Source organism: Homo sapiens, chromosome 1, assembly GCF_000001405.40.
Source record: "Homo sapiens chromosome 1, GRCh38.p14 Primary Assembly".
Lineage (NCBI taxonomy): Eukaryota > Metazoa > Chordata > Mammalia > Primates > Hominidae > Homo > Homo sapiens.
This window is the reverse complement of record NC_000001.11, coordinates 196,217,912-196,230,028: the sequence shown is the minus strand read 5'-3', so window position 1 is coordinate 196,230,028 and position 12,117 is coordinate 196,217,912. Positions and strand designations below refer to the sequence as shown.

At 37.0% G+C, this 12,117-nt stretch overlaps 1 protein-coding gene across 9 annotated transcripts in view; it reads left to right on the top strand.

The window, feature by feature from the left end:
* KCNT2 (potassium sodium-activated channel subfamily T member 2) overlaps nucleotides 1–4,250 on the top strand; it is a 382,662-nt gene extending 378,412 nt beyond the window's left edge. For all 9 annotated transcript variants that reach the window (NR_146057.2, NR_146058.2, NM_001287820.3 and 6 more), the window contains one exon: nucleotides 1,694–4,250. Coding sequence is in view for 7 of the 9 variants with exons in the window: in NM_001287820.3 (NP_001274749.1) it covers nucleotides 1,694–1,805 (112 nt within the window). In the remaining 2 variants the exon portion in view is untranslated. The remainder of the gene's footprint in view (nucleotides 1–1,693) is intronic.
* Nucleotides 4,251–12,117: the final 7,867 nt, after the last annotated feature.

Sequence of the window (12,117 nt, the reverse complement as noted above, 5' to 3'; positions counted from 1 at the left end):
TAGTTTGATTTTTTTGATAACTTGCTGTAGCTTCTGCATTAGCACTATCTACTTCATCTTGCACGTTTATGTTATGGAGGGGACTCATTTCCTTAAGCTTCATGAGCTAACCTCTGCTAGCTTCCTCTTCCATAGCTAACCTCTTCCATAGCTTCTTCACTTCCCTCACCTTTCAGAGAATTGAAAAGAGGTAGAGCATTGCTCTGGATTTGGCTTTGGATTAAGGGAATGTTGTAGCTGGTTTGATCTTTTTTCCAGACCACTCATACTTTTGCCATCTCAGCAATAAGGCTGTTTCCTTTTCTTATCAGTTGTGTATTCACTGGAGTAGCACTTTTAATTTCCTTAGGAACTTTTCCTTTGCATTCACAACTTGGCTAACTGGCACAAAAGACCTAACTTCCAACTTATGTAAGCTTTTGATGTTCCTTCCTCACTAAGCATAATCATTTCTAGCTTTTGATTTAAAGTGAGAGACATGATACTCTTCCTTTCACTTAAACAATTACAAGTCATTTTTGGGTTATTAACTAATCTAACTTTAATGTTTTTGTGTCTTGGGGAATACAGATGGTGGAGGAGAGGGAAAAGAGTCGAGGGAATAGCCAGTTGGTGGAGTGATCAGAACACACATATTTTATTGGTTAAAATTGCCTTCTTATATGGGTGCGGATAGTGGTATCCCAAAACAATTACAATAGGAACATCAAAAATTACTGATCACAGATCACTATAACAGATATAATTACAATGGAAAAAGTTCAAGTTACCAAATCTGACACAGAGACCCTAAGTGAGCACATGCTGGAAAAAATGTCTCCAACGGACTTGCTTGATTCAGGGTTGCCACAAACCTTCCATTTATAAATAATTCAATATTGGCAAAGTGCAATCAAGTCAAAAGCAATAAAAAAGGCATGCCTGTACATCATTTGACAGTCTAAAGTAAGACAACTCTCTGAAAACAAATTCTCACATTAATGAAATGTTTGAGTTTGGCAGATAAACATTTTTCTATTTACTAGCAGAATTAATTAAGAATTATTCTCTATACTTTAGTATTATCACTTACTATACCATAAGCTGAATTTTAGATAAATAATTTTCCTGCTAATTTAAACGTTATGCATTATATTCACTATAACATTTGTTAAACTGTTGATTTTATAGATTCATAAAATATTTAAATTGAAAAGACTATAGAAATTGCTTACATCAATCTCCTAATTTTTTAAGTGATAAAAATAAGACAAAGAACAGTTAAGTAATGGAAGAATGATGGCTAAAATGTAGGTCTCCTTCATAGAAAAATGGCCAAAGTAAGGGATAATAAGTCAACAGCATACTTAATCATAAAACTTTGATGAGACGAAGGTGCTGAAATTGATTATAATTGAAAAATAATGGTGACTGACAGTCAACATGCACAGGGAAAAAGATGAAGAAGAAAAATAATAGTGCTTGATTCATCAGCATTCATCATCATAATCTTCTCAGGTATGAAAATGATAATATTAACCATGCCAAATTGTAAAGGCCAACCAAACAGTGAGTTCTACCACCAATGTTGTATACAGACAGTTTAGATAATCTGAAAACTGAACAAATAAATTAGAAATATGAAGTGTCAGTGTGAATTAATGTTGCCTGTATTTACTATTGCAAAGTTATTTATTTTGTTTTCTTTTATTAGATACTTAATTCGACCAGATCCACTGGCCTACCTTCCAAACAGTGAGCCCAGTCGAAGAAACAGCATCTGCAATGTCACTGGTCAAGATTCTCGGGAGGAAACTCAACTTTGATAAAAATAAAATGAGAAACTTTTTTCCTACAAAGACCTTGCTTGAAACCACAAAAGTTTTGCTGGCACGAAAGAAACTAGATGGAAATATATGTAATTCTCTCATATTTAAAAACGTAATCTCTTCTCTTAGAAGTATAGATCATTTTGAAACTTAATGTACTACTTACTGGTACTCTCCCTATTAATATTTGAAGGACCTCAATGGAATAAATTTGAAAAGCTAAATTAAAATACAAAAATTTAAATCTGACATTTAATTGTTTTATAATAATCCAAACTCTATGAAAGCAATTTTAAAAATTATTAAGGTTTTATGAAGTTGACAAAATCTAACTATATTTGGTGCATCACAATGGACACAGAATGCTGCTGCTCCTCTTAAAAATTAAATGTGTCATATTATATTCTTTAAACTTACTGTTTTACAAAATTGAGCTCATCGTAAATGTCTAGTCTTCTCACATAGAGATTAACCAACAAACTTGTGTGGCTGACTTTTGTGTAAGAATCATAGTTTGCTTTAGAATACAAATCTTTAAGTCATTTTAACTTTTTTTTCTGCCTTACGATATAAAAATATTTATCTTAGAATTTGAGATGTTCATAGCATGTTTTATTACATTGAAGAAACTAAAACATAAATGAAAAGAAACACTAGGTTCCTGCACTTTTTGGTAACTTTATGTCTAGCAAATATTTTATGCCAAGAAAAGCATACTATAAAGCAAATATCTATTATTCTCCTAAACGAATGCCTAGCATAGAGAAAATACTTAATACACATTTGTTGACTTAAATTTAATTCAAGGATTGAAAAATTAACTGGATATCTTGAAATATACAGTAATGATTGTCCTTAGACTCTTGAACTTTACCATCTTTCCTATTCATATATCTATATAGTAAATTTCACTAGAAAAATTCTTTTAAAATTGACAGAAGATAATTTATACCTTTTATGGACTCTGAAGACACTTCAAAACATTAAAAGTCCTTATGTCTTTGGTAATGAAACAATAACACTCAATGAAGGATGTATTAAAATTTTTGACTTAATTTTGAAATCGTATATATGAGCTATACTTTAACATTATGAGAGAAAAGCATAAAACAAAAATAGGTAGTTCTTGGCTTTTAACATTAATGCAAATCATGCAGAATTTGAGTTATAAATTTAAATATAAATTGACCATTGATGATATCCAGTTTTTCATTTTTTACCTGTATTGCATTTTCCCCCTAGAGAAATAGATCAAAAGAGCACAAGAGTATGCGTACATAGTTTACCAGGTAGTAGAAGTGTGTTAAAATGTTCCTGTAAAAGAAACATTGGTAAATTTAAATACATACTGTTCTAATTTTGTATTTTTTAATTTTTGAATTTGACATTGAGTTTAATTCAGCAACAACAAAAAATACATATAAAACTAGAAAGGGACTTTTTTTCCTTTCTTTTCATAATGAAGCAGATCAACTTAAAGGATAATAAAATTTTTAAAGAAAAGATATTCTAATGTACTCTCAATAATTCTACAGAAATAAAACTGTAAAGTGCAATGTGAAATCAAAGATTATAGTCATTGTATAATTTGGCTTGGAGGCTATGAAATGTCTTTTTTTCTTTTTGGTATTTTACATTATTCACATTTTAGAATAACAAGAACACCAAGAATTACCCCTAAAACAGAGACCCTGTATTTAATCTACTTTGATCAGAGAAGTAGAATTTATAACAGGTTAGCTAAAATTGGGAGCATGCCTTAAAACTTAAAGATTGTATGCATATATGTGTATATGTTATAAACGTGAAATATATTTGACACACACATTCACATATAAATTGTTAAAAACTGAAGGCAGAATGGAACTAATATATGTAACAGAGAAAAACAATAAATTTTATGAACTTGTTTTATATTTGCATATCAAGAGTCAAGTATGATGTTTCTTTAAGTTGACTTTTTTTACTTCATTATTTTTAGGAATAAATGTAAGATTTTACAAATCTTTTATTTCCCCACAAGATCTGAAGTTTGGTATTTTTGCATTATGACAGTTGTTGAGACTAGGATTTTAAGCTAGGATATGATTATATTTCCTATATAACTAAAAATTTTGTTTCATAAATTTTAAAATAATTATTTTTGACTATGAACATTAGTCCAAATTTAATATTTGACACAGTTCATACCAGCTTGCTACAATAATGATAATTTATTAGTCTTTCTGTTATTTAAAGAATAAAAACATGCTTATAAAAGACTTTTAATGAAATGTTGCCTTTTTAAAATAATTATACTTGCACATGAAAATAAAATATAAAGTCAATAATAGTCCTTGTAGCCCAATGGGAATTGATTCTGTTTATTGTCTGTACCATTTTGCTACCAGTTACATTGAACTGCTTTAAAATAAATAATAAAATTATTTCTAATGATGAAAACTCTTGATTTTTTTTTGCCAAAACTTCAGTTGCTTAGATAAATTGTGTGTTGGAACTATAAAAATCATTTTTCATTTTTATATTTTAAACCCAAAATAGCTATGGAGGTTATCTCATTGGAAAATTTAGTGATAAACAAACTTCTGTTGAATTATGTCTTAACATAATAGATTCTGAATAGTTGCACCATGTCAGAAAAGGAGAAGTGAGGAGGGAAGGAGAGTTGAAATGGGAGGAAATGAACAATAGGAAGAAAGGGAGCAAGAAGAAAACAGAAGGTAAGAAAAAAAATAAACCTTAGTGAAGATGTCAGAAGAGAAAAGTATTTTATGACACAGAATCATGTCACAATACCCTAATTTAAGAGTCAGAAAAGGGAGGAGGAGCCAAGATGGCCGAATAGGAACAGCTCCGGTCTACAGCTCCCAGCGTGAGCGACGCAGAAGACGGGTGATTTCTGCATTTCCATCTGAGGTACCGGGTTCATCTCACTAGGGAGTGCCAGACAGTGGGTGCAGGCCAGTGTGTGTGCGCACCGTGCGCGAGCCGAAGCAGGGCGAGGCATTGCCTCACCTGGGAAGCGCAAGGGGTCAGGGAGTTCCCTTTCCGAGTCAAAGAAAGGGGTGACGGACGCACCTGGAAAATCGGGTCACTCCCACCCGAATATTGCGCTTTTCAGACCGGCTTAAGAAACGGCGCACCACGAGACTATATCCCACACCTGGCTCAGAGGGTCCTACGCCCACGGAATCTCGCTGATTGCTAGCACAGCAGTCTGAGATCAAACTGCAAGGCGGCAACGAGGCTGGGGGAGGGGCGCCCGCCATTGCCCAGGCTTGCTTAGGTAAACAAAGCAGCCGGGAAGCTCGAACTGGGTGGAGCCCACCACAGCTCAAGGAGGCCTGCCTGCCTCTGTAGGCTCCACCTCTGGGGGCAGGGCACAGACAAACAAAAAGACAGCAGTAACCTCTGCAGACTTAAATGTCCCTGTCTGACAGCTTTGAAGAGAGCAGTGGTTCTCCCAGCACGCAGCTGGAGATCTGAGAACAGGCAGACTGCCTCCTCAAGTGGGTCCCTGACCCCTGACCCCCGAGCAGCCTAACTGGGAGGCACCGCCCAGCAGGGGCACACTGACACCTCACATGGCAGGGTATTCCAACAGACCTGCAGCTGAGGGTCCTGTCTGTTAGAAGGAAAACTAACAACCAGAAAGGACATCTACACCGAAAACCCATCTGTACATCACCATCATCAAAGACCAAAAGTAGATAAAACCACAAAGATGGGGAAAAAACAGAACAGAAAAACTGGAAACTCTAAAACGCAGAGCGCCTCTCCTCCTCCAAAGGAACGCAGTTCCTCACCAGCAACAGAACAAAGCTGGATGGAGAATGATTTTGACGAGCTGAGAGAAGAAGGCTTCAGACGATCAAATTACTCTGAGCTACGGGAGGACATTCAAACCAAAGGCAAAGAAGTTGAAAACTTTGAAAAAAATTTAGAAGAATGTATAACTAGAATAACCAATACAGAGAAGTGCTTAAAGGAGCTGATGGAGCTGAAAACCAAGGCTCGAGAACTACGTGAAGAATGCAGAAGCCTCAGGAGCCGATGCAATCAACTGGAAGAAAGGGTATCAGCAATGGAAGATGAAATGAATGAAATGAAGCGAGAAGGGAAGTTTAGAGAAAAAAGAATAAAAAGAAATGAGCAAAGCCTCCAAGAAATATGGGACTATGTGAAAAGACCAAATCTACGTCTGATTGGTGTACCTGAAAGTGATATGGAGAATGGAACCAAGTTGGAAAACACTCTGCAGGATATTATCCAGGAGAACTTCCCCAATCTAGCAAGGCAGGCCAACGTTCAGATTCAGGAAATACAGAGAACGCCACAAAGACACTCCTCGAGAAGAGCAACTCCAAGACACATAATTGTCAGATTCACCAAAGTTGAAATGAAGGAAAAAATGTTAAGGGCAGCCAGAGAGAAAGGTCGGGTTACCCTCAAAGGAAAGCCCATCAGACTAACAGTGGATCTCTCGGCAGAAACCCTAGAAGCCAGAAGAGAGTGGGGGCCAATATTCAACATTCTTAAAGAAAAGAATTTTCAACCCAGAATTTCATATCCAGCCAAACTAAGCTTCATAAGTGAAGGAGAAATAAAATACTTTATAGACAAGCAAATGCTGAGAGATTTTGTCACCACCAGGCCTGCCCTAAAAGAGCTCCTGAAGGAAGCGCTAAACATGGAAAGGAACAACCGGTACCAGCCGCTGCAAAATCATGCCAAAATGTAAAGACCATCGAGACTAGGAAGAAACTGCATCAACTAATGAGCAAAATCACCAGCTAACATCATAATGACAGGATCAAATTCACACATAACAATATTAACTTTAAATATAAATGGACTAAATTCTGCAATTAAAAGACACAGACTGGCAAGTTGGATAAAGAGTCAAGACCCATCAGTGTGCTGTATTCAGGAAACCCATCTCATGTGCAGAGACACACATAGGCTCAAAATAAAAGGATGGAGGAAGATCTACCAAGCCAATGGAAAACAAAAAAAGGCAGGGGTTGCAATCCTAGTCTCGGATAAAACAGACTTTAAACCAACAAAGATCAAAAGAGACAAAGAAGGCCATTACATAATGGTAAAGGGATCAATTCAACAAGAGGAGCTAACTATCCTAAATATTTATGCACCCAATACAGGAGCACCCAGATTCATAAAGCAAGTCCTCAGTGACCTACAAAGAGACTTAGACTCCCACACATTAATAATGGGAGACTTTAACACCCCACTGTCAACATTAGACAGATCAACGAGACAGAAAGTCAACAAGGATACCCAGGAATTGAACTCAGCTCTGCACCAAGCAGACCTAATAGACATCTACAGAACTCTCCACCCCAAATCAACAGAATATACATTTTTTTCAGCACCACACCACACCTATTCCAAAATTGACCACATAGTTGGAAGTAAAGCTCTCCTCAGCAAATGTAAAAGAACAGAAATTATAACAAACTATCTCTCAGACCACAGTGCAATCAAACTAGAACTCAGGATTAAGAATCTCACTCAAAGCCGCTCAACTACATGGAAACTGAACAACCTGCTCCTGAATGACTACTGGGTACATAACGAAATGAAGGCAGAAATAAAGATGTTCTTTGAAACCAACGAGAACAAAGACACCACATACCAGAATCTCTGGGACGCATTCAAAGCAGTGTGTAGAGGGAAATTTATAGCACTAAATGCCTACAAGAGAAAGCAGGAAGGATCCAAAATTGACACCCTAACATCACAATTAAAAGAACTAGAAAAGCAAGAGCAAACACATTCAAAAGCTAGCAGAAGGCAAGAAATAACTAAAATCAGAGCAGAACTGAAGGAAATAGAGACACAAAAAACCCTTCAAAAAATCAATGAATCCAGGAGCTGGTTTTTTGAAAGGATCAACAAAATTGATAGACCGCTAGCAAGACTAATAAAGAAAAAAAGAGAGAAGAATCAAATAGACACAATAAAAAATGATAAAGGGGATATCACCACCGATCCCACAGAAATACAAACGACCATCAGAGAATACTACAAACACCTCTACGCAAATAAACTAGAAAATCTAGAAGAAATGGATACATTCCTCAACACATACACTCTCCCAAGACTAAACCAAGAAGAAGTTGAATCTCTGAATAGACCAATAACAGGCTCTGAAATTGTGGCAATAATCAATAGTTTACCAACCAAAAAGAGTCCAGGACCAGATGGATTCACAGCCGAATTCTGCCAGAGGTACAAGGAGGAACTGGTACCATTCCTTCTGAAACTATTCCAATCAATAGAAAAAGAGGGAATCCTCCCTAACTCATTTTATGAGGCCAGCATCATTCTGATACCAAAGCCGGGCAGAGACACAACCAAAAAAGAGAATTTTAGACCAATATCCTTGATGAACATTGATGCAAAAATCCTCAATAAAATACTGGCAAACCGAATCCAGCAGCACATCAAAAAGCTTATCCACCATGATCAAGTGGGCTTCATCCCTGGGATGCAAGGCTGGTTCAATATACGCAAATCAATAAATGTAATCCAGCATATAAACAGAGCCAAAGACAAAAACCACATGATTATCTCAATAGATGCAGAAAAAGCCTTTGACAAAATTCAACAACCCTTCATGCTAAAAACTCTCAATAAATTAGGTATTGATGGGACGTATTTCAAAATAATAAGAGCTATCTATGACAAACCCACAGCCAATATCATACTGAATGGGCAAAAACTGGAAGCATTCCCTTTGAAAACTGGCACAAGACAGGGATGCCCTCTCTCACCGCTCCTATTCAACATAGTGTTGGAAGTTCTGGCCAGGGCAATCAGGCAGGAGAAGGAAATAAAGGGGATTCAATTAGGAAAAGAGGAAGTCAAATTGTCCCTGTTTGCAGACGACATGATTGTTTATCTAGAAAACCCCATCGTCTCAGCCCAAAATCTCCTAAAGCTGATAAGCAACTTCAGCAAAGTCTCAGGATACAAAATCAATGTACAAAAATCACAAGCATTCTTATACACCAACAACAGACAAACAGAGAGCCAAATCATGGGTGAACTCCCATTCACAATTGCTTCAAAGAGAATAAAATACCTAGGAATCCAACTTACAAGGGATGTGAAGGACCTCTTCAAGGAGAACTACAAACCACTGCTCAAGGAAATAAAAGAGGACACAAACAAATGGAAGAGCATTCCATGCTCATGGGTAGGAAGAATCAATATCGTGAAAATGGCCATACTGCCCAAGGTAATTTACAGATTCAATGCCATCCCCATCAAGCTACCAATGACTTTCTTCACAGAATTGGAAAAAACTACTTTAAAGTTCATATGGAACCAAAAAAGAGCCCGCATTGCCAAGTCAATCCTAAGCCAAAAGAACAAAGCTGGAGGCATCACACTACCTGACTTCAAACTATACTACAAGGCTACAGTAACCAAAACAGCATGGTACTGGTACCAAAACAGAGATATAGATCAATGGAACAGAACAGAGCCCTCAGAAATAATGCCGCATATCTACAACTATCTGATCTTTGACAAACCTGAGAAAAACAAGCAATGGGGAAAGGATTCCCTATTTAATAAATGGTGATGGGAAAACTGGCTAGCCATATGTAGAAAGCTGAAACTGGATCCCTTCCTTACACCTTATACAAAAATCAATTCAAGATGGATTAAAGATTTAAACGTTAGACCTAAAACCATAAAAACCCTAGAAGAAAACCTAGGCATTACCATTCAGGACATAGGCGTGGGCAAGGACTTCATGTCCAAAACACCAAAAGCAATGGCAACAAAAGCCAAAATTGACAAATGGGATCTAATTAAACTAAAGAGCTTCTGCACAGCAAAAGAAACTACCATCAGAGTGAACAGGCAACCTACAACACGGGAGAAAATTTTCGCAACCTACTCATCTGACAAAGGGCTAATATCCAGAATCTACAATGAACTCAAACAAATTTACAAGAAAAAAACAAACAACCCCATCAAAAAGTGGGCGAAGGACATGAACAGACACTTCTCAAAAGAAGACATTTATGCAGCCAAAAAACACATGAAGAAATGCTCATCATCACTGGCCATCAGAGAAATGCAAATCAAAACCACTATGAGATATCATCTCACACCAGTTAGAATGGCAATCATTAAAAAGTCAGGAAACAACAGGTGCTGGAGAGGATGTGGAGAAATAGGAACACTTTTACAGTGTTGGTGGGACTGTAAACTAGTTCAACCATTGTGGAAGTCAGTGTGGCGATTCCTCAGGGATCTAGAACTAGAAATACCATTTGACCCAGCCATCCCATTACTGGGTATATACCCAAAGGACTATAAATCATGCTGCTATAAAGACACATGCACACGTATGTTTATTGCGGCACTATTCACAATAGCAAAGACTTGGAACCAACCCAAATGTCCAACAATGATAGACTGGATTAAGAAAATGTGGCACATATACACCATGGAATACTATGCAGCCATAAAAAATGATGAGTTCATATCCTTTGTAGGGACATGGATGAAATTGGAAACCATCATTCTCAGTAAACTATCGCAAGAACAAAAAACCAAACACCGCATATTCTCACTCATAGGTGGGAATTGAACAATGAGATCACATGGACACAGGAGGGGGAATATCACACTCTGGGGACTGTGGTGGGGTCGGGGGAGGGGGGAGGAATAGCATTGGGAGATATACCTAATGCTAGATGACACATTAGTGGGTGCAGCGCACCAGCATGGCACATGTATACATATGTAACTAACCTGCACAATGTGCACATGTACCCTAAAACTTAGAGTATAAAAAAAAAAAAAAAAAGAGTCAGAAAAGCACTGGTTAGAGAAAAGAAAAAATAGTTTTTAACGCAAAGATGGAATTCCAGTTCCAGGCAAATGGAATACACCCATTTCTCCCTATTCCTCCTGCTAAACACAGCTAAACCCCCTAGATATTATATGTAAAACAAACCTAAGAAGGTTCTGAACAGTGGAAAGAAGGAGGAAGACAGACTAGGGAATTGGGACTTGAAGAAAAACATGGTGGTGAATTCTGTGGGATTTTTCTTGGCTTCCTGTATATCCTGATCTTGATATTGAGAAACATCAATGAGCACAGATGAAAAAGTTCTAAGAAAAGCCTGCTGTCTCCTTCAAAAGGACTGGCTCCTGCGGCAGATGCGGCTTCTGCAGCACCAGACTGCTGACAGTTTAGTATGGATGGCTTCTTCTTCTGAAATGGGCTCCACACCTTGTGGCCTGAAACTTCCCTCAGCACCCTGTTAGATGGTTTTCTAGTGGCGTGCTTCCAGTGAGACGCTTTCCCATAAAAAGCTTCCTCTGGCACCTTAGAGGGTGGAATTCCAGCAAGTTCTGCCAGTGCAGCACCGTAGTGACTTCTCTGCTGTTCTGTGAGCCACAGCCGTGCTATCTTAATTTCCAGTGCAGTCCTGGAATCTCTTCCTGGAGCACTTTATCTTGGCCTTGAAAATAATGCATGCTCCTTACATCTGCTATTGCTGTATTATTTTCAAGTTCTCTTTACTATTACTAACCAATCTGATATTTCTCTATTGCTCTGTTATAGTTAAAAAATCTCTGTGTAAAATATTCTCTGTCCAAATCACTGTGTGATTTCTCTCTCCAAACAGGACCCCGACTGATACATAATGCACAAATCAGCAGTTCTTGGTTTAATGAAATAATGGTGATATCAAATTCTGCAAACCTGAGAGACAGACTTTGGGCAAATTCAAAAAATTAAATAGCACCTGCTGGGAAACTTTGCAGACAGATGATGCACTCATCCCGTGGAGCATTAGACCATTTTCATTTCGTTTTGATCTTCTCTACTCTTTTTTATAGGACTGTCTTCAGTCCTATAGTTTATAGGACTAACTCATTTGTGGGAAGGGAGAAAGAGATATGCCAAGTTCAATCATGTAGGTCAATCTAAAATTATAGCAAATTGTTCTTAAAAATAGTAATTTTGCTTATAATTAAACAATATGCTTATATTGTTATCCAATAGAATTGTATTTTATTACTTAATGTAAACATGTGTTTGTAGAAACAAAACAAAGACCCGTTTTTCTAAAAATAAATAATAGAAATCTTTCACAAATTGCACTATAATTAGTCACACTCCAAGGAAATATAATATAGCTCCACTCCAAGATTTGTATTTTCTTCTTTTTGTATCATACACAAAATATATTTCATCCTAGTGACACCAAGCTAGATATATTTGTACTTGGAAATTAAATACAATTCCAAAAAT